The 23,794-nt window shown below is 34.4% G+C and overlaps 1 protein-coding gene across 15 annotated transcripts in view; it reads left to right on the top strand.

Annotated features, from left to right (window-relative positions):
- The window catches only part of BTBD10 (BTB domain containing 10), a 75,215-nt gene that overhangs the window by 7,200 nt on the left and 44,221 nt on the right, over positions 1-23,794 (top strand). For 7 of the 15 annotated variants that reach the window (XM_024448713.2, XM_024448712.2, NM_032320.7 and 4 more), the window contains exon 2: positions 10,842-10,999. The exons of 5 other annotated variants lie outside the window; for them this stretch is intronic. In XM_024448713.2, coding sequence (XP_024304481.1) covers positions 10,899-10,999 — 101 coding nt within the window. In that variant the 5' untranslated portion in view covers positions 10,842-10,898. Of the gene's footprint in view, positions 1-10,841; positions 11,000-15,767; positions 16,140-23,794 lie in introns of those variants that run through there. 3 more of the 15 variants (NM_001297742.2, XM_017018405.2, XM_047427696.1) reach the window with 1 other exon arrangement.

The following is a 23,794-nucleotide window of genomic DNA, read 5'->3' as shown; positions in this document are numbered from 1 at the left end:
TTCCATTATCACACTGTTGTGATAATGGAAAGTCGCGCTGAGCAGTGAGTGCTACAGTCTAGAACTTGAATCATATTTAATAGAGCCTTTACTAGCCTGTTGAATTGATGGCTGATAGACAAAAATCGGAAAGGAATGGAAGGTAAGGGGAATAATGAATAGGTCAAAATGGAACAGCATAATAAAGGTTATATGAAAAAACATAAAGCATCATGGAAGGAAAAAATATTGTTTAAAATATTGTCTGACTTTGTTTAAAGGGTGTTGCTTCTTAGGAGTTGACCATAATCTCCTTTGATTTAGGCATCAGCTTCAGGAGCATTGCCTGTATTAATTGATATTATGTCAAGATGGTTTGCTTCAACTAAGGTGTTTCTGGTTTTGAAGTCAACACTTTTTGGTCATAGTAGAAAATTAAAACATTGTTATTTCTTTAGGATATTAAAAAAATATGCCTTTTGAGTTTTAAGAAGGTAGCCTATAAACTAAACAGTGTCTAGTTACTTAACAATGCTAATCATGTAATGTAGGTACTTTGTAAATGCTTAAAATATGGAAAGATTTTCAAACATTTATTGAGCTGTTTGTGATGGGAAAGAAACAAATGAATAACACTTCATTTATTGAAGTGTTAATGTGTTAATTAAGAAGTCAGCAAAATTTGAATAGAAATTCTATAAAAGTGATAAAATCAATTAGCACAAAGATTTTATATCCAAATCACCTCTGGAACATTAAGGGTTGACTGAGCTGACTTTGGAAGTCTTAACATCTTGGTGAATTAGAGATCACCCTTTAAGTGGACAACAGGGCTGGGCGCAGTGGCTCATGCCTATAATCCCAGCACTTTGGGAGGCCAAGGCAGGCAGATCACTTGAGGTCAGGAGTTCGAGACCAGCCTGAACAACATGGTGAAACCCTGTCTCTACTAAAAAGAATACAAAATTAGCCAGGTGTGGTGGCACACGCCTGTAATCCCAGCTACTTGGGAGGCTGAGGAAGGAGAATTGCTTGAACCCGGGAGGCAGAGGTTGCAGTGAGCTGAGATTGCATCATTGCACCCCAGCCTGGGTAACAAGAGCAAAGCTCCGTCTCTAAATACATAAATAATTAAATACAAATAAATAAATAAACAACAGATCCTACTTTTAATGGAAATACCATGCAGTTTTATTAAATCTGTTTGTTAGAGTCTCCCTAGCAGTTATCAAAATGCCTGAAAGGTGCTTAAGTACTCAATAAATAAATTTTGAATGAAAGAATAAATAAATTTTATTTTATTTTTAAAAATCTTTTTAATTTTAAAATTTTTATTTAATTTATTTTTTTATTTTTAGACCTGGGGGTCTCATTATGTTACCCAGGCTTGCCTTGAACTCTTGGGTTCAAGCAATCCTCCTGTCTCAGCCTACCAAGTAGGTGGGATTATAGGTGCATGCCACCATACCTGGCCACTTTAATTTTATATGGTGAAATTAGATACTTACAATTCAATTGGTTATAAAAATATCCTGAATAAAGTTCTCAGCTAAGCTTGTCTTGTTTTAACTGTAACAAATCAGAAAAGGTCAAGCCTTAACAATTGAAAGGGCTTCTGTGAGATTTAAATAGGCACATCTTTGAGGAATGTTTTGGGGAAACTTAGGGCTTGTTTGGTAATAGCTTGAAAAATGTTTTCAGGGATGTGATATTTTCTGTCTTTTATCCCCACTATCTTGATATGTATTTCCTGAGAGCATTAGAAATTGAATTGTTATAATTTTTGCTTATTTGAGAGTGAGAGTCACATGATTGGTGCTCTTTGCAATAACTAAAACATGAGTACAGGTATATGACAGTATTCTTTTAAGACAACTAAAAGTTAAAGACTGCTTATAAATCTTTGTAATTCTTATTTCCTCTGCACTAGTAAATTATATTAAGTGAAATGTCCTTCAGTTTCTTTCTTCTTCTTTTTTTGTTTTTGTTTTTGAGATGGAGTCTTGCTCTGTTGCCCAGGCTGGAGTGCAGTGGCGCGATCTTGGCTCACTGCAACCTCCACCTCCCAGGTTCAAGCGATTCTTCTGCCTCAGCTTCCTGAGTAGCTGGGATTACAGGTGCCCGCCAACACGCCTGGCTAATTTTTATATTTTTAGTACCAGTGGGGTTTCACCATGTTGATCAGGCTGGTCTTGAACTTCTGACCTCGTGATCCACCTGCCTCGGCCTCCCAAAGTGCTGGGATTACAGGTGTGAGCCACCGCACCCAGCCTCTTTCTTCTTAATGTAGTTAACATTTTGTAAAAGCTTACATACAAATTGTGCTAGGCTGTGGGGACACAAACCTGAATCATACTTTGTTCTTGCCCTCAAGGATCTTATAGTCTAATGGGGTACATGTGGCAGAAACATATTCTATCAATGCATATGTAGTGACTATATTTAAGCAATCCAAAAAAATTTACAAAACTACACTTAAGCAGTAAAATTAAACAAGGAAGAAAATTTCTATAGCACTATCACCTCCAAACACTTTTTAATAAACCTTCCTCAATATTATCATTTTGAAAATAATATGTAGAAAATTCAAGTAGTATGAAGGGATACAACAAAAAGTAAGTCTCCTTATTCCAGCATTTTCTCAGAGGCAACTAGTTTTAATTTTATGTGATATTTCTAGACATTTTATCTTAACATATACAAGCATGGATGAGTGTGTGTGTGTATGTGTATTTAATTTTTAAATTTTCTTTTTTCTGTTTTTTTGTTTTTGTTTTTCTTGTGTGTAAATATGGGATTACATAATGCATATCTGTGTCTTGCTTTTTAGCTTAACAATATATTTTGAAATATTTTCTGTATCTGTATCTATATATCTTATTTTTACTGGTTGCATGATATATTGTGCAGAGTTTTAACCGATAAACTAGATGAACATTTAGATTGGTTCTAGATTTTTTCTAGGACAAATAATACTGTGTATCATGTCAGGGAGAGAAAGGAGATGTATTCATTATGTATATATGTGTGTATTAGTGTAGTTATACCATGTGTAATTATACCATGTATAATTAAACAAGGGCTGAGCAAAATCTTAAAACTTTTAGTCATGAATGAACTAATAAAATATACACAAAATTTATATTAGGTTGCCTACTAAAGACAGTAAGCATTGTGCCTAGCACTGTGTTATATAAGGTATCCTGTCTAACAGTTTGATGGTTAAAATAATAATAGATTAAATAATGAGAATTGTGTTATTTTCTTCATTTCACGTTTAAGGAAATTGCGGTCTTGAATGTTAATAAACTTTTACACAGTTATACAGGTTTTTTTCTGATTCTAAAACGTCTTCATTACTCACTGTTGTGGCAGAAGTAGAAATGAAAACTCACCAGTTTTCCTTATCAAAAGTTTATGTATGTCGTTTGTGGCAGTGGAAGGATGGCTATTAAGTATGCTTGCTATGGTAATGAGACAGTGTGATTGGGGTTTTTGATCAAAAAGTGGTTTCATTATGCCTTGCTGATATATTTGATGCTGCTTTTATGTATTAATTAAAATCATTGCTGATTTTTTCTTTTAAAATTTAAATGCAATAAAATTATTTCTTTCTGATATACAGTTCTGTCAGTTTTGATAAAAGCATACAGGTGTTTACCACTACCACAATTAAGGTACAGAATAGTTCATCACTCACCAAAATTACTTTGTGCTGTCCCTGTGTAATCACTTCAGCCTTAACTCCTGGCTGATCTGTTCTCTGTCTTTATAGTTTTGTCTTTATAGTTTTGTCTTTCATACATATGAAATCATATGGTATGTAACCTTTGAGTCTGGCTTCTTTCACTTATCTAATGCTTTTAAGATTCATTCATGTTTTGTGTGTATTCAATAACTTACCTACCTTTATTATTAGATACTGTCCCTCCTGTCTCTGAATCTCTTTTCAATTTTCTTCAATCTTTCTTGCTCTTTATTCTATGGATTGGGTAGTTTCTATTGATCTGTTTTCCAAGTTCCCTGATGGTTTTTTTTGTTATCTCCATATGCCATTGTACCCATCTAATTTTTCATTCTAGTTATTGTTCTTTTCAGCTAGAGCTGAATTTCCATTTCTTTTGACAGTTGGCACCTCTCTACTGAGATGCCCTTTGTGTCAGTCGTCAAGACAGTGCTCTTCTTTTAGTTCTTTGTATAGGCTTTTTCTTTAATTGTTTGAATATATTTATAATAGGTGCTTTGAAGTCTTTGTTTGCTAAATCTAACATCTGGGCCAACTTGGAGTCAGTTTCTGTTTTCTGCCTTTTACTGTTTTAATTTTTTGCATGTCTTATAATTTTTGGTTGAAACCTGGACATTGTAATATTTTTATGAGGACTTGTTGTTGTTGTTTTGTTATTGTTTTAGAGAATGTTAACTTGCTTGGATTCAAACTGCAAACTTGTTTCCCCTGAAGTGTATAGCAGCTGCCATCTGTGCTTATTTCTTACTTCTTCCAACTACTTACTTTTTTAGCTTGTTTTCCTGGGGGTCAGGGCAAAGGGAAGGCTTTTCTGCACCTGTAATTTGGTGGTCAGCCAAGAATTTGGGCAGAGATTGTACTCACATTTTGGAATTCACCCTCTCTGTGGGTTCTTTACTTCTGGGAATTCCCTCTTAATCTTTACCTGCTAGTGGTGGTCTTTGTCCTCTGATACCCTAACCAGTAAGGGATTCAGCTTTCTGCTGCTGGAGGTGTATACAGTTGGGGAATACATTCAGCTTAGAAAGCATCAAAATCATGTCTCATGCCATGCAGCTTTCAAGGGCAGAGTTCTCTATGGTCTCTGCCTGCTTTTTCTGCCAGGCTACCTGATGTCCCTCCCCTACCTCCCGTACATGTGTATTTTAGCTATCAGCCAGGGATTTGAGCAGAGTTTATGCTCAGATTTTGGGCCTGCACTTTTCTTTGTTTCTTTCACTTCCACTACATCTACCTGAAATTTCAGCTCTGAGGTTTTCTCTGCCACTTTGAGCTGTGTGGCTGCCTGGTTTCCTTCACCATATTTGTGAGGGATGGGGAGGCCACTCAGCAAAAAAACTTCAAACTGAACTCGTGATTCTGTTGCTTCTAGTTGTAGTTTTTCAAGAGTAAGCTCTTCTTTCACTACTGTCTGCTTTTGGACACTTTCAAGTGCTTTTAAATAGTTGTTTTTTATAGTATACCTAGATTTAAATAATTGCTTTCTGTTGGAGGTGTGCATGATCACTTCACCTGGCTGTGTTTGCGAGAAGTTTCTTTCCGTCTGTCTGATCTCCTTTTCTTTTAAAAGTTGCTTCCACCTGTTCTTTGTCCTACATTATTATCTGTGATAGTTTGCAATCCCTCAAGCTCTTTCAGTTCTTGATGTTGCTAAAAATGACTGTTCAGTTCTCTGTCAATTAATTTTTGGATTTATGTTACACTCCATGGGAGAATTTAGAGTAGATTAGCAATCAAGAGGAAATTATAAACATTTTCATGGTGGTTATATCCATATCATACATTTTCTGTGTTTTTAGTGATACAGTCTCTCTTTTATTCCTAAGGATAGAAGCTCATCAAGTGATCTTTCAGTTTCTGGCCCTTAGAATTCTTCCTCCATGTAGGCCCCTCTGAAGGCCTTCTTTGTCGTTAGTACAAAATTAACTTTGTGAACATTCAGGTATTTACTCTTTTGTCTGCCAGTATCAAGTGATTAATTTGCTCTTTGGGGCTCTCTCTCCTCCTTTTGGTCCTTTCCACATAGAGAATGTCATCTTAGGACATTTAACTGTCTCAGGTGTCGTCTTGGCTTCCTCCTGGTCAGTCTTTACCATCCATATATTTGGATATTTGGACCTCTGTAGCTGAAGGCAGCCCTTGTCGTCTGATTCTGGGATCACTATGTAATTCTATCCTCTTCACTATTCCCCCTCTCTTATCTATCAGGTCTTTCTAGTAATGGCTACACTTGAAATATTTTGTCTACAAAGTTTGAGAGATAAAAATAATTTTACATTAATAGAAAAGCTGTTGTGTAATGACACTATTTAGAGTGTGCTATGGTTTGACTGTGTCCCCAAAAATCCATGTGTTGGAAACTTTATCCCCATTGTAAAAGTGCTGGGAAGGGCCTAATAAATGCTGATTGAGTCATGAGGGTGGAGCCCTAATAAATGGATTAATGTAGTTAATTTCAGGAGTTGGTCAGTTATCAAGAGAGCTGGTTATTATAAAAGTGAGCCCAGCCCTTAGTGTTTTCTCTCACCCAAGTTCTCTTGCCTTTCTACCTTCTATCATAGATGACACAGCATGAAGGCCCTTGCCTCATGCTACTGACATGCTTTTGGACTTTCCAGCCTCCAGAACCATGAGCTAAATAAATTCCTGTTCATTATAAACTACGCAGTGTCAGATATTCTGTTACAGCAACAGAAAATGGACTAAGAGTAAGATTTTAGTAGGCTGGATGAAGCCACAAGATGGCTGAGGTTTAAAAGGCACATTGTTGGTAATAAGCAAAAATATCAATTCTTTTTTTTTTTCCCTTTAAACTCTTTTGGACTTGAAAAAAGTACCAATTTTTATATACCTTGCTTGGTGCATTGGAAATAACATGGGCTTTTTGTTAGACTGGGGTTTTAATCTTATCTCTTAAGATTTCCTCATATATGAAACAGGATAATAATATAGAGTTGTTTTAAGGTTTAAGTAGGAGAAAATATATAAACTTCCTAGAACTTCGATAGTGAAAATAGAATAAGTGGTCTCCATACACTGTGCATTGTCTTTGTTTTGTTTTGTTTTGTTCTTCCATTTATCATTACCATTAATTGATACTACCTGGAAATAGTGTCCCGAGGAGCAATTATTTATTTTGTTACTATAGTCTTGAAGATTCTGCCTATCCCCCAACCCCCACCTCCTGTTTAGACAGAATGTCCAAGAGAAGGGGAAATAATTGCATCATCTTTTTCTCAGTTAACTTTTGGCAGTCTCCTGAATGCCTGCCCCTAGCCAACAGGCCCAGTGGTTCCAGCCTCTGTACAGATGATTTCTAGATTATTTTGAATTTAAATTTATTTCTATCATGCCTAAACATAGTAATGAATAGTGACATATTTTCCAGGAATTTTATTTTCGGTTGTCTGGTAATTATTTTTTGATGATTACAAGATCCAAACAACAATAAACTTTAGTTTTTCTGGACATTGGGGATTCAAGTGCCAGATTCTGAAGGACCTTTTTATAGTAAGGAGTTTAGATATAGGAAACGAGGAGCCATTCAGTTTTTAGGAAGGCCGTTCTGATTACAGCAAAGCTAGTAAGGAATTGAATGGTGGTAAGGAGGTCAGCCAACATTTTTACTGATAGATGATAAGGGCTTAAATAAAGGCAGCACTCGTATGAATGAAAGGGAGAGAAGGAGTCAAAAGAAGATTCTAAAGTAGACTTGGTGTGGGGAAATGAAAAAGAAGTCAAGGATGACTTCAAAGTTTTTAGCTTGATGAATAGAAATGACATTAATTGATGTGAGAGGCCAAGATGATGAGACTGACTATTGAAGTTGGGGTGCCTGTTAAATAATTCAGATAGTGATAATGCAAACATAGATTCTATGTAGTGTATAAATCCTGATATTTGCAAGGGTTTGGTCCTCATTTCTATTTTGTTTGCTGTCTCTCTCAAACCAGCAAGTAGAGAAGAGAGGAAGATGGAATCCTAATAAACACCAAGATTTAATGAGGGTGAAGGATGAGGCAACAGTACAACTTGAATAGAAGTGCTCCAGGTGGGAGAGAGATACAGGATATGGAATCATGAGAGGTGTCTTTTTTCCCCTTTCTAAGATGAGTTTTTTGAGTACAGGAATAATGTCTAACTTACTTCAGCACCTTGCATATTGGCATATTGTAGTAAATGCTTATAAGTGCTTGAATGAATGAATGAAATCCGACAAATATACTGTCACTGAGAATGGCACAGAGGATGGTTAAAACTGAAGAGATTATCAGATATTACAAAATAGTATATAATATGTGCCAGTGGCCTTTCAACCATTTACAGTTATAACTTAGCTTATTGATAAAATTTAAAAACACTAGCATTTTTGTGTATTTTACACAAACATAAAACACGTTATGTTTGTGTAGGCAAACATAGGCATAGTTTTTCCAAACATCTCAATTTGAATTCCGCTTATTTTTTAGTGTGCTTGTAACCCTATGACTACTGGATGTGAGGGCTGGGGAAAAATCTTTCATGTGGTAATACCTAAGTTTTATTGACAAATGAAATGTGAATATGATTTTTCAGCTGATTTTTGAGCACCTTTATCTGAACATTCATTACTTTCTTATGGCTTGCTGTGAAATACATGCTGATTAAATAGGATTGATTAGGAAAACACATGGGAATTTCGCTCCTGCCACCTGTTTACCAACCAGTGTAATAGTGGTAGAAAATCTGAATCTGAATTTGCCTTGCTTATCTATTCCTTGTAGTTAGCTTTTTGGTCACTGCCACCCATGGTTTAGGATCATTCTTCCCTCAGTGGACATCTGTGGCTATCCTATTCAGAAGAGTATCTGATAGTTAAGGAAAAGGAAGAGATAAAATGCTCTTCAAAGATATGTTAGTCTGTATTCCCAGATATTCTGGAGGCTGAAGTGGGAGGATCATTTGAGCCCAGGAGTTGGAGACTGCAGTGAGTTATGATTGCACCATTGTACTCCACTCTGGGTGACAGATTGAGACCCTGTCTCGAAAGAAACGGCTGGGTGCCATGGCTCATGCCTGTAATCCTACCACTTTGGGAGGCTGAGGTGGGAGGATCACTTGAGGCCTAGAGTTCAAAGAAAGAGAGAAAGAAAAAGAAAAAGAAGAGGAGAGATAAAGAGAAAGAAGAAAGAAAAGAAGAGAAAGAAAGGTTAATCCCTGAAATAGTTTATACTTGAGGATATGTAGAGTAAGGAAAAATTGTTCTAAATCTCATTCTACAGAATCTGCCAAATCTCTACATCTTTATTTTCTCACATTGTTTCTTTCTACTATCTTTATACCTTTTGCATCTCTTTTGGTGACTACTTTTTTTCTTTCTCCTTTGCTTCTCCGATTTGTTCATTCTCCCCATTTTCTTCTCTTTGACCTCATCTCTTCAGTACAGATAACTAGTCATAAAGTAAAATTGAGGTTTTTTATAAGTTTTTTTGTAATGAATACATTTTTATTTTTATAATCTAAAATTCAGATGACATTGACATATTTTTATGTTCAAAATAATTCATGGTTTTTATAGTCATCTAATACCTGATTGATTTATGATACAGTCATTCTTAAGGAAATAACAAATAGGAAATAGGCTTCCTTTTCCAGGAGCATTCAGCAAATAAACTATGTGGCATTTGCTCAGGAATTTGCATCAGTCATAGATTCAAAGGAAGAATTTGAATCAGCAGTTCTTCCTTTCCCCCACTTTTATTTTTATTTCACTCATGGATCTACCTACTTATTTATGTATTTATTATATTAAATGCTCATTTATTATAAAATTTTCAGCTGTTTTTAGAAAGAAGGTACTATGAGAAAAAAATTATAGTAAAATTGTTTCTCTAAAATGAAAATGTATTTTCTACTGATTTTTGATATGAACACAATTTTAATGAGTTTATCTTTGGCATTCTTTGTGAACTTGTACTGCAATACTGTGTAAAACTCAGGAAAGTATAGTATTTTCCCAGTTTTGGAATTTCCCTTTGACTTTTATGTACAACTCTACCTCACCTCCCACCATCAAATCCAGCTTGGAAAAGTATATAGAAGGTATACAGGAGTGGGTGTCAGGAAACCTGAGTTCCAGTCCAAATTGTATAGCTTTGTTTAAATTGTTTAACTTCATTTGGTTTCTCTTTTGGTGTCTGCAATTTCTGAAAGTCAAATCATCTATTTCCAAACAAATACTTTAGTCTCAGCATTTTTCGAGATCAAGATTTTATTCTATATAGTGAATTATCCTTGTTCTTTATAATACCATTTAGCAGCATTGTGATCTTTGGCAAAGTTACTAAAATTCTGAGGCTTTCTATTCTGTATATGGGGATCATAATGCCTACCTTGCAAGGTGATTGTGAACATTAAATTGGATAGTGAATGTGGTTTAAAAGTGTTTAGCTCAGATATTCTGTAAAGCTGTTGTTAAGTGAGTTTCCTTATCATTTCATTTGACTATAGTAGAAATAGCAGTTACAAGCCTCACATGTGAAAAGGCATAAAGTATATGAATTGCATTGATAAAACATTTTTATGGTTATTGCACTATAAGGAAACATCAGAATGCTTACGTACATTTATTTTTGAGTAAAAATTAAATTTCTATTCAGAGTTTTTAACTTCGTTAAAGGAATAATCATTAAAGAAATAATAACATTGGTTATTTGGTTTTACTACATGCTTTCCTAAGCATCTTAAACTTTTAGTAATTAGGAAATATGTTCCAAGTGAAATTGTGTCTAAAATAATCATTCTGTGGAATTGTTTTTGCCTTTTTGGTACCATAATGATATTTGGATACATGAGGTACCTATACAGTAGTTGTTTAAGTATATTTACTAAATATAAAGAGCACATTATTAAACTGTTACATAGTGGTAGCAGATTTAATAGACAAATCAAATGAAAAGTACTTAAGAAGACCCCTGGTGTTTATTTTAATTTGATTTGTGGCATTTGTATGGTTAGTATTTTATAATCTATTCATCACTTTAAAAATATGTCACAATAATATCAAGTCTGTACAATTCTATGACTATTTTATTCTGCGTGGAATAGATTTAAAGGTCAACACTGCTCTTTTATGTAGGTTATGGGTGCTACATGTGTGCTTTCAGAGCAGTAGTGTGAGGAAGCTTGGAGTGGGATGGCAGGACGGCCTCATCCCTATGATGGTAACTCCAGTGATCCAGAGAATTGGGATCGGAAATTGCATAGTAGACCTCGTAAACTTTATAAACATTCAAGGTAGGTAGAAAATATGTATTTCGCATATGAAAGCTCTGCTAAAAACTGATTGTAAAGAATACTACTGCATTTGGTTGTGGCAATTCCTGTCAGAGAATGGGGGCTGTTTTACAAAACGTTGTGAATGTTTATCTGTCTCCATAGATAACTTTTGGAGAAACATTTCTTTTTAATTTTTTAATATTTGTATTTGAATATTTATTTCTGTCTCTAAAGATGGTGAAAATCTCCCTAGTTGACCCCATGAATAAATGCTATAATTTACTTAATTGGGGACTCTCACATGACAGGTTAGTTCTTTGTGTTTAAAACTCTCTAATAGGAATTTATTTTGTGCTCTAAATACATTGTATACCTTACACAGGATAATATATAGATTTATGTCAGTGTTTGCTTCATACGTTTTTAACTATCTGAGTTTATATTGTGTTGTCATCCTTCTCATTAATGAGAAAAATTAATCTTTCTGGAATGACTCTACTGGTTTATTTAAAGTTTGCTGCGTGAAATAAAATTCATTTCAAGTTTCAGGCCATCTATCTATTATTTTTAAAACTTTCATTTTCTGCTGTGTAACTTAATGAGGAATGCCTCATTTTGTACACTTTGATCTGAAATTTTAAGATGTTAATTGACAACTCAGAAACCTCACATATTACAGGTATGTAAGCATGTTTTCATAAAGCAATATCTTCTATGAATATTACTTAGGGGATATTATTGAGCATTTAACTTACTTGAATATAAATTTCTTCTTACCACTGATAACAAATACCAGCTTTCTTGAAAAAAAAAAGCCATAATATTGTGATAATGAAATCGTTTTTGTGATTTTAAAGAAATAGTTCAGGTACTTTATATACTATAGCTAGAAAATTTGAGTGATTGGTACTTTTTAAGTCTCCTGATAATATGTTCACTTTTATTGTGGACTTTTAATGTTATGAGGTCTAAAATGTTAATATTAAGTTGACTTTTTAATAATTTATAAGTCCATGCCAAATTGTATGAGTGTTTTTTTGGTTTTTTATGTTTGTTCATTCTGTGTGTGTGTGTGTCAGCATCCAAACTGGGGCTTTTGTTCTTTTTCTCTATTTCATGGATATTATTTTGTCATTTAGATTAAAGATATGTTGGTTTTGCCAGGTGTGGTGGTTCATGTCTGTAATCCCAACACTTTGGGAGGCCGAGGCAGGCAGATCACTTGAGGTCAGGAGTTTGAGACCAGCCTGGCCAACGTGACAAAACCCTGTCTGTACTAAAAATACAAAAATTAGCCGGGAATGGTGGCATGCACCTGTAATTCCAGCTGCTTGGGAGGTTGAGGCACGAGAATTCCTTGAACCTGGTAGGTGGAGGTTACAGTAGGCCACTGCATTCCAGCCTGGGTGACAGAGTGAGACGCTGTCTCAAAAAAAAAAAAGTATTGGTTTTATCACATTAAATGTGGGGCTGTATTTATATCTACTATGTTATATATATGTGTATTTTTTTCAAGTGAATTATATAGTATTCATCCTAGTTCTTGCTGTTTTTCTGCTGAAAAACAGATTGCTAAGGTATAATACTGCACTATATAATGAAGAGGTGACAAGGGAGAAAATAAGCCATTATTTTATAAAAGCTACATACATACAGTGGGAAAAATTAATAAAAATGAACAGTGCATTTTTCATTATTGTTGTTTCATTGTCAGTAACAAATACTCAAAGCTCTTCTTGATAGCTGTAACATCAGTAACTTTTTAGTGCTGTTTTTATTCTTTTTTTTTTTTGAAATGGGTTCTCACTCTGTCAGGCTGGAGCGCAGTGGCACCATCTCAACTTACTGCAACCTCTGCTTCCTAGGCTTAAGCAATCCTCCCTCCTCAGCCTCTGGAGTACCTAGGACTACAGGCATGCACCGCTACCACCACACTCAGCTAATTGGAGCTCTTTTTAGGTAGACTGCAGCAGTATTTAGGGTTATTTGAGTGAAAAACATTAAAGTAAAATAGAAAATAAATACCAGTGAATTGATTTTTTTTTAATGCAAAGACTATGAAGTCTGTTAAATGAGTTTATTTTAGCCTCATTCATGGAAAATCTGCCCAAGGAAGAACTTTTAGAGACCTCCTGTCCCATATGCTTAGGAACATATAACTTAGGACACTTAAAAAGTATGATTTGACTTTTTAAAAGTGTTACTTTTTGAATTCATAGTAAATTAATTGGCTGAGAGGTTTTAAAAAGTAATAGCAAGTATTAATGAGAACTTGCCTTCAGTTCAGGAGAGATTCAAAAGTGCACTGTTATGGAATAGTTTAGTATCCACGCATGGAACTATTAGAGGACAATAAGGCACTTAAACTATGGTAATGAGTTATAAAATAAGAGTTCAGAGAAAGAATAATTATCAGCTTGAGTAGGTGAAAATGAGACTTGAGGTAATCCTGGATGATTAGAGTATTAGGTAGATGGAGGACATTTCTGGCATGGATCTTCAGATTACCTTGACTGGATCTGAAGTTGGAGCTCTGTGGATAGTATTATTGTTCCCATGTGGCAAATGAAAAAAAACGAAATGAGTAAACTTGCCCAGGACCATCCAACTTGTAAATAGCAGAGCTGGGATTTATAAACAAGTTTCTCATTGTTTTCTTTTTCAAATTTTACATAATTTATTATGGTATATTTTAAATACATGCAAAATAGAACAGATGTAATGAACCCCTGGTATTCATCACCCAGCTTGAAGTTACCAACTCATGGCTGATTTTGTTTCATCATGCCTCTCCTACTCTCATTCCTTTTTTGAATATTGTGTATTTTATTTAGGTATGTTTGAGTAAAAGAAAACAAGACTAAACACTGGCTGATGTTAGGGGTTTATTATTCTTTTAAATAAGAAATCCAGAGATAGGCAATGGCGGGTGCATGTTTAGTGGCTTAAGGATGTTAGGGTCAGAAATCTCTTATTTTCTTGGCTTTCCTCTCATTATCACAAGGTGGATATTGTAGTTCCAGATATCATTTTCACTTTCTAGACAAGAAGGAAAAAATGGAAAAGGGCTTCATTTATATCAGGAAATTAAATTTCTCAGAAATTTCCAGCAGATATCTGCTTATAAACCAGTCATTGGCTAGAATCATGTCATATGGCCATCTCTGGATCAGGGAGACTGAGAAATATGGTTTTTAAATTGGGCACATTGTCACCTTGAACAGTTGGGGATTTAAATCTATAAACGTAAGGAAATAAGCATACTTTATTGTTTAGTTTTTATAGCTAATCTAAATTTTGTCTTGTTGAAATTTTGTGTTTTGTTTTGTTCTATTTATGTTTTGGAATAGCCTGACTTTTTCTCGTCTTGTACTTTTGATTTTTTTCCCCACTTTTCCTTGCTGGCTAGGATAAAAATAAATTATTTGATTTATAAAAGTAACAGCAACAGTTACTATCTAATGTGTATTTACCATTAAGGTTTGAGAGTTTGAGAGCATTGCCTTATGGTTTCTGTTCTATCTAAACAACTTTAGGTACTTTAAAAAATCATTTAATTATTATATTTTATTTCTGATCATTTTCCTTCTTTTTTCAAAAGATTAAAAAATTTTAAAAATTGGCACATAATTGTGTATATTTATGGGGTACCTAGTGATATGTGTATCATATAGTGATCGTATCAGAGTAAGTAGCATGTCCATCATCTCAAATATTTATCTTTTTTTGTGTTGGGAATATTCAGTAAAAGGTGCTTTCTTTTTTAAACTTTCTTTTGAATGTAGATGTATATCTCTTTTAAAAATTTGTTTACAGTTAAAGAAACTAGTCTGAACATGGATGGACTTTTAGGGTGCCTATGATCTCTCAGCAGGTCTATATGATTGAATTTGTTTAAAATTTACTGAATTGGTTTAAAATTAGTTTAAAAATTACTGAATTTGTTTATAAGTTGCTCAACTTGTTTCTGGGTGAGTAGTTGTATAGTTATATATAGAGTTGCATAGTTATATACTTGTATGATATCCATATAGAACAGTTTGGTAGCCTGCTGAAGATGTTAAAGATCATTTCAGTTGAAATGTATTTGGCCTGAATTTGTGACAACTTCTTTTTAAATTATGAATTAGAGGAGCTTTTGCTATTTAAAAAAGAAAAAGAAAAGCACTTTTTCTGTATAAGAAGGTTAAAATGTCTAGATAGATGATACACTAAAAGCTCTTAAATATTTGAATTGGGTGGAATATGACCATATAAAACTCAGGTCTGCAGTCCACTCAGGTTACTAAAGATAAATGCATCATACATTCAGTATAGACTATGCCGCAAGGTTTCATTCCCACATGGAAGTACGCATGCTCGTTTCTCCTGAGACTGCATAAAGTCTGAACATTCCAGTTTCCCTTTTAAGTCACTTCATAGCCCTAGCAGCAGTTTAGAAATGCAAAAGTTTGGTTGCTTTAAAGAATAGTTCTTGAGTGGATTCTTAATTAAGTACAATAATATTTTCTCTTTGATTTTAAAGAGCTTTACTGCCCAGAATGGATACACAATAAAATTTTGAAAGGAAAAAGAAAGTTAGCTGTATCCCAGTTTTCTAAACCCTGGCAAGCTGGCAGAGCTAGAATTAGCTTTACAGATGGCATTTGGCAACATATCTACATATCTCTAAGCCCTCAACTCCTGCGTTTTGTTATGCCTGTCTATCAATTACAATATCCAATCACTGCTCAGAGATGGAGAAATGGGACGATCACAGCTCACACGATGCTGTTTTGTTAGAAACGTCAGTGCTGCACAACCCACGGCTGAGTCAGTGTCTGTGAGAAAATAAACTGAATTAATATGTAGAGGGGGTTGTATCTCTGAATATTTAAAGCCTAAATATTGCAACAGCATTATTACACAGTAGAGGGAGGAAGCTAAAGGAAGTCTATGGACAGGTGAGGTAGGGGGAGACTGGGGAATTTTCTGATTGTTCAGAGGAATCTTGAAGATGATGGAAATATCAGATGTGCTAAAGTTTCCTAGTAATGCCCAAGGATGCTGACCTGGCTTTCAGTGCTTCATTGTTTGAAAGAGCAGAGTCCCTTTATACTCTGATTTCAAAATTTTTTTCTTGTTTTTGTGTGTCTACCTTGGCATATACTAAAGGAAGGTGTGTATTCATTTATTACATGATATCTCTGGGTTATAATTATTTACATATATGAATTTGAAAGAAAGATTGAGAGGGATATGTGTGACCTTTGTTTCATTATGATCATTTACATGACTAAAGATAAAGATCATATGTCTGATTTTCAGTTTAATGGCAAGTTACTTAAAATAAATGAAATATGTTTTTATTGTTTTCGTGGGTTTGATGCTTTGTGTTTTATTTCAAGTAACTTGAGAATGCATTGTGTTTGGTACTGTTTTTTATGAATATCATTAAAAATTTATTTAAGGAGAGAGTAATTTTGCAATAATATTTTTGATTTATTTGAAAATAAAATTCAAGATAAATGAAATAATTGAAATTTTCTAAAGAAGGAATTGAATATATTTTTACATTTGAATGAACTAAGGATTAACTGAACCATTTATATATAGTACTTTACAGAACTGAATGTACTTAAATGATAAAGCTCTAATTGGTTAAAGTGACTTTCTTTCAAGTCAAAGAACCCAGAAACTGAATAGATGATCTAACTACTGCCACTGAGGTTTTGGATTAGTGAGTATAAATTTTCAACCAGACAAAATTTCTAAATAAGGATAATGGTTTTTCCTGTGAGATTTTAAATCTTAACAGGTGATATTGCTCACTTTATTAGGAAATTTTACAACAATTTAAAACATTTTGACTAATGGTTTTTTTCCTTCTCTCTTTATTACCCTTATCCTGCTGATCCTTAATTTTTTTGGACATTTGGGATATACAGCATTTTACATTTACTTTGTTTTTAATGTATTTATATGGTTTATAACATTCTTTCCTTGAAGTGTCAGGAAGTTCTTTTAATTTCCCCCATTTAATTTCTAAAAGTTTGAATGGTCATCTTATGGTTGTCATGACTTATTTATATAGTTCTGTTCGTGGTATCTTGTATTGACTTTTTTTGTGGTTTAGGGTCCAGAAATGTTTTTGTCAGCTTATTAAATAGAGTTATAAAAGCAGAATCTCAAGCTAGACCTTTTAATCTTATACTTTATAGGATACTTTCCCCAGGTTGTGCTGATTCTTTTAAGATAATAATGTCTGTCTTATTGTGAAAATGGTACATACTCATTAGGTAAATTTGGTAAGCCCAGAAAAACATATAGAAGAAAATGAAAATAAGTTTTTCTATTATAAAAAGAAAAATAAATATTTTGGCATATAACCTGTTTTTTCTGTGTATATATAAAAATCTAAAATAACACATATGCACTTAAAAAGGCATTACTGTAGTGCTGTTATGTAACCTATCCTTGAAAAAAAAGAAATTTAATTATGAACATCCTTTAGTCATGAAGTGATCTTCTATTGCATAATTTTAAAGGATTACATAGTGTTTTGTACATACATATTTTGTAATTTATTTCACCAATCCGCATTTTTCTGATAACTGATCAGAGAAAAGATCAGCATGATTTCACAGCATAAATATCTCCAAAAAGAAAGAATGTCTTAAGGAGTTAAGTAAAAATGTAATATTGATTATTTTTCTGACAGAGAAAGATCTTCAGTGTGATTACACAGTGAACCCTTTAAAGACATACACATTACTTTTAAAGCAAAGCAAATAGCTAAGATAACCATCATAAAGTATAAAAAATAAACAAAAAATCAGGAAAACTAGAGCTCAGATGAACTGAGACTTCAGAAAAATGTCAAGACCACCAAAAAAGGTTTCTTATATTACATTTAATGTAAGAATAATAATCAAGGAAAGTATAATAATAATGCATGACAATGAGAGGGAAAAATCTAGCTCTTGAAGCTTCTTTGTCAAAGTGGAAGAGGAAACCACTACCACCTCTAACAGAAATAGAAATAAGACAAACATTGATAGGAAGGACATGAAGGCCAATATGAGTATAGAGGTAAAGAATTCATCTGATTAAATGAGTTGTCTTCTGGGCCATTTAAAACATCTTATAAAAGGAACTGCATGCAACACCTTAAAATTATTGTTATTATTTGTGATCTTTGAAGGTTTTCTGAGAATAAAAGAACTGCTAAAAGATGGGAGATTCTGGGCTTGATTTTGAAGCAGGTAGGAGATTTTGGAATTAAAAATGGAAAGGACTCATTTATGACTGACTTGAAGAAAAACAGTTTAAAAATGATTAGGGATAGGTTTGTTAAAATTAGATTGCCAGACCAACTTAGATTTTTCTCTGATGCAGTTAGTAGACTAGCAACGCTATAATATATTTGGACTTAAGCTTAGCTTTTGGTAAAGTCATTTTGATATCCTTGAGAGTAAAGTGGGGGAACAATAAGTTAGCTACCAGCTGATTGTGATAATTAATTTACACAATTCTGACTTTAAATGATCCCATCCAGAGATTCATTGATCTTGAAAGGTGGCTTTGTTCTTTGCTTTGGGTAATATACTAAATGTTCCAAAATAATTTTTGAGGCTGAGTTGTTGTACTAAGTTTAGATGAACTTTTTGGGAGTATATATGTAAGGCCTAAAAAACACCAGGATACATTAAGGTAGCATCGCTCTACAGCATCACATATGAAAAAGACCTGAGGGTGGCTGTTGGCAGTAAACTAGATATAAGACAAAAGTATCATATGGCTTCCCATCTTCTTCCTCACCCCTCCCCTAAAAAATCCATTTCAATTAATGGAAGAGTAGAGTAACTGCTGAATACCAAAGTATTGTTATTTTTAGTTCTGTGAATATTCAAGAGGAAGGATGTGAAAAAGTTGGGTATGTTGCCAGTTTAAGGAACTAAGAATTTAAGAGAAATCTTGGGCTGGGCGTGATGTCTCACGCCTGTAATCCCAGCACTTGGGGAAGCTGAGGCGTGCGGGTTGCTTGAGGCCAGGAGTTTGAGACCAGCCTGGACAACATGGTGAAACCCTGTCTCTACTAAAATTACAAAAATTAGCTGGGCATGTTGGTGCACGCCTGTAATCCCAGCTATGTTGAGAGGCTGAGGCACGAGAATTGCTTGAACCCAGGAGGCAGAGGTTGCAGTGAGCAGAGATCACGCCACTGCACTCCAGTCTGGATGACAGAGTGAGACTCTTTCTCAAAAAAAAACAGAGAAATCTTGTGACAGCTCTGGTTGGATATTAAGGAATGTCATAATAAGAGCTATCTTCAGATATTTTAAGACTTTTCCTTTGAAAAGTAATTAGACATGGTTTGAGTCAGACTTGTTTGAAGTTAGGAGCATGAGCTCTGAAATTGAACCCCTTGGTTCAGATCCAGCACTTAATTAACTATATGATTTCAGGCACCTTGCTTAGCCGCTAAGTTTCCATTTTCTCAGCTGTAAAATTGGGGTGGTTTTGAGGATTAAGGTGCTCAGTATTGTTCTAAATGCCCAAGTGTTCGCATTGTTGTTGTTGTTATTTGGTCCCAGCAGGTAGAACTAAGGCAGTGGTTTTCAGCCCAGATGATTATGTCTTCTAGTGGGTGTTGGCAATGTCTAGGGACATTTTGGTTGGGGAGCTGGAGGAAGTACTAGCATACTGGTGGATGGAGGCTAGGGATGCTGCTAAACATTCTACAATGCAAACAACAGCCTTTTTACAACAAAGAATTACCTGGCCCAAAACCCTGAACTTGGGTTAGGTAAAAAGGTTTAAGCCTTAATGTGAAGGAAAAACAGCCTAAGAGTCAGAACTTTCCAAGGCTAGAATGAAACTTTTAAAGGGAAAAGTTCCCCTTCCCTGTCATTAGCAGTAGGTCAGCCAATTCGAGGACACTTTGTAGATGAAGATTCAGGAATTAGATACATGTTTGGACTAGATTTTCTAAACAGTTTTTCCTAAACTTAGGTTCTGTGTTTCTGTGGATATTTCTTAGGATAGTTAGACATACTGAATTACAATAACATCAAAGGGCCTCTGATAGAAATCATTTTAGTCTTTAATTTCATCAGTCTAATTACAGTATAGATTTTTATTTTTGATACTTAGGATTGAATAAAAGGCATAGTGGGGAGAATTTAATAGAAAAAGGTTGTGTTTTCAAAGGTCATTTGGAAGGAGTGATTGTGGGATGGCTGTGATTTGTCTTTAGAAATCTGTTTTGTGGCCGGGCGTGGTGGCTCACGCCTGTAATTCCAGCACTTTGGGAGGCCGAGGCAGGCAGATCACAAGGTCAGGAGTTCAAGATCAGCCTGGCCAACATGGTGAAACCCATCTCTACTAAAAATACAAAAAATTAGCCAGGTGTGGTGGCAGGCACCTGTAGTCCCAGCTACTTGGGAGTCTGAGGCAGGAGAATTGCCTGAACCTGGGAGGTGGAGGTTGCAGTGAGCCGAGAGTGCGCCACTGCACTCCAGCCTGGGCGACAGAGCGAGACTATCAAAATCTGTCTTGTGAAAGTAATTTATTAAAATATTCACAATCATTTGATAAATATTTTAAAAACTGAGTCTTGTATTTGTACTTCATATCTTTTATACTCCAAAAGTTTAAAAAAATTATATTTTTTAAAAGCATTGCTTGAAAAATATTGGTTGTGTATGCATTATAATATTGTTCTCAATCATTAACAGTACCAAGAACAGTAACTGGCACAGTGTAGTTATTTAGTAAATATTTGTTGAATGAATGACTATTCAGTAGATACACAATAAACCTGTGCAACCATTAATTTAGCTTTGAACAATTTTTAATAGTGGCTAGCTATTTTTAAAAAATTTTTCATGCTAGGAAGTTGCTGAGAATACTAAGTATGTAGTGACTGCCAACTCCGAAATTTGTATTTCTAGCCTAGACTTTTCCCCTGAACTTTAGACTTATGTATCCATAAGTATACACAGACTTACATATACACAGATGTGTAATAAGCATCTCACTTTTAACATGTCTAAGATATACCTACATTTCTAAACCTAGTCCTTTCACTTTCACTTGCATTCAGTAAATGGAACTTCCATTCTTCCAGTTGCTCAGGACAAAATCATGGAGTCATCCTTAACTCTTCTTTTTCTCTCACCTCCTACATTTCATCCATCAGTAAATTTCAGAGGCATATTCTTCAAAATATATAGTCTAGTCCACTCTACCACGTAACTCTGCCATAACACTGGTCCAAGTCACTTTCAGCTTTCGCCTGATTATTTACAGTAACATCTGAAATGGTCTCCTGGTTTTACCTTTGTCTCCTTTCTCCCATTCTCCCATTGTTTGCTTTGCAGCTAGAGTGATCCTGTTAAAATGTAAATTACGTCATTTAATTCACACTTCAGTGCTACCCATTTCACTCAAACAAAAGCCAAAACCCTTTAAACATTCCTTCAATGCCTGTCATAATCTTGTTCTAGTCTTGCCTAACTAAGCTCTACCTTTTTAACATGGTTGTTCTTATTTTCTGTGCTCCAGCAACCCTGGGCTTCTTGAATGTCTTGAAAAAGCCAAGGATAACTCTTACCACAGGGCCTTTGCATTTACTATTCCCTTCTATATTTCATAGTTCTATTTCTTACGTTTTTAGGTCTTTGTTTAGACACTTCCCCCTCAGAGAGTTCTACTTTGACCATTCAAAGCGGTGGCACTCTTTTTTTATTACCTTTATTTTTCCTTATAACATTTATCACCATATGTTAGTATCTGGGTCTTCATGTGACTTCAGTTGAAATTTGAAAAGATACTCTTAGGCGCTGCTGCTGCTGCTGCAATGGGATTTTAGGAAGAAGAGAAAGATGTCAGGATTTAGAAATAGTATTAAAACTATTTTTAGGCTATACATATTTATTGCTGAAGTTGTCTTTGTGGGGGTAATCTGGGATTTAAGTATCATTTAAAATATTTTTATGGGAAAAATATATCCGACAACAGACTTACAGGTGATCTTTGAGAATTTAACTAATTCTTCAGTTGAGAACTTCCCTTTTCCATAATTAAGCATTTATTCCTTGGGAAACTGACCATATATTAAGCAGAAGAGCAGAAAGTTTATAGAAGGCTAATTGACCAAAAAAAGGAAATGAGAGATAAATTGTTATTAAATCTATTTAGAAGTTTGATAGCATTTTTTATATTATAGTTGTTGACATTTAATACAGGGGTCAGCAAACTTTTTCTGTATAGGGCTGGATAGTGAATATTTTTGGCTATGTGGGCCACAGTCTCTGTCCTAACCACTCAACTTTGTCATTGTAGCATGAAAACAGCCATGAACAGTAATCATGAATAGACATGGCTGTGTTCCAATAATACTTTATTTACAAAATCAGGCAATGGGTAGAATTTGGCCCATGAGCCATAGTTTGCCAAATCCTGACTTAACACATTAACGATGCTTATAAAAAGCAAATCAGTTGCTTCAAAAATATATTAATATAAAGTCATTTAAAAGCTTTAGTTTAAAAAACCGAAACAGAGGATCTGGTATTTGTTAGAATAGTAAAAAAATCAGCTAATTTTTTCTCCCAGAATAAAAATAGGATTTAAAATATTGCTTCTTTATTGAGGTCTGACTAATTCAAATGGATAGGAGTATTGTCAGTGGAAAAAAAACACACTCAAACTCCAGGGTATGGGACAGGACACCTTCTGAAATGAGGGGCCTATGGCCTATAAGCAAAGTAGGTCAGGGGATTTCTTTATGGTCAGCTCCATTACAGGAAGGCAGGGGAAGAGTAGAATGTATTTTTAGTTTCTAAGGCCTGCCTTGGAGAGAAAAAGGAGCCATGAAAAGAGGGCAGGTGAAGGTCAGAGAGAGAGATTCTGTTTTCTGAGGCCTAAAGTGCCCCCAACATTATAACAAGGGCAGTAGGAGTTACGAGCCAGGAAACATGGACAAAAACATATATATAGCCTTTTATGGAGACATATAGTTTTTTACAGAGCTATATATAGTTTTTTATATTACAGTTTTGTGTATTTGTCAACAGTTTTCTGATATGAGTGCTACTTATATCAGCTACTTCTGGAAATTTTTCTTATATTATTTCCTTGAAAATGTGCTCCCCTCTATTTTCTCTGTTCTCTCTAGAACAGATATTAATTGAATGTTGACCTCCTTCATTAGTTCTCTTTTTTAATGCTGTCTTATTTTCCATTTCTTTGCATTTTTGTTCTTTTAAGGATATATTCAGTATTTTCTTTCAACCCTTCTAGTAACTTTGTAAAAATTTCTGCTATTATTTTGCATTTCTCAGAACTTTTTCTTATTCTTTAATTTTTTTAAAATTGCAGCATTCCTGTCCTTATTTTATGGATACATTTTTTATGTTACTGAATTTATTACAGTTTTGTGTGTTTTTTTGTCTCCACTTTATTGCTCCTTTTGTTATATAATTCAATGAAAATATGAATTATTTTCATTATGAAATAATTTTAGATTTACAAGATGTCACAAAAAATCGTACAGTGAGTTCCCAGGTACTCTACTCAGCCTCCTTCAATGATAACATCTTACATAACTTTAGTACATTATGAGAACCAGGAAACTGACGTGAGTACAATACTAATAACTAAATTATTGACCTTTCTTGTATTTTATCAGTTTTTACATGCACTTTATCTTTTTTTTATTACATGGTTCTGTGATATTTTATTGTATGTATAGATTCATGTAACTCCCACCACAATCAGGATATAGAACTCTTCTATCACCACAAAGAAATTCTCTTATGCTACCCC

This window comes from Homo sapiens, chromosome 11 (assembly GCF_000001405.40).
Source record: "Homo sapiens chromosome 11, GRCh38.p14 Primary Assembly".
NCBI classification, from domain to species: Eukaryota; Metazoa; Chordata; class Mammalia; order Primates; family Hominidae; genus Homo; species Homo sapiens.
The sequence above is the reverse complement of the archived record's forward strand: the minus strand, read 5'-3'. Positions and strand labels throughout refer to the sequence as shown.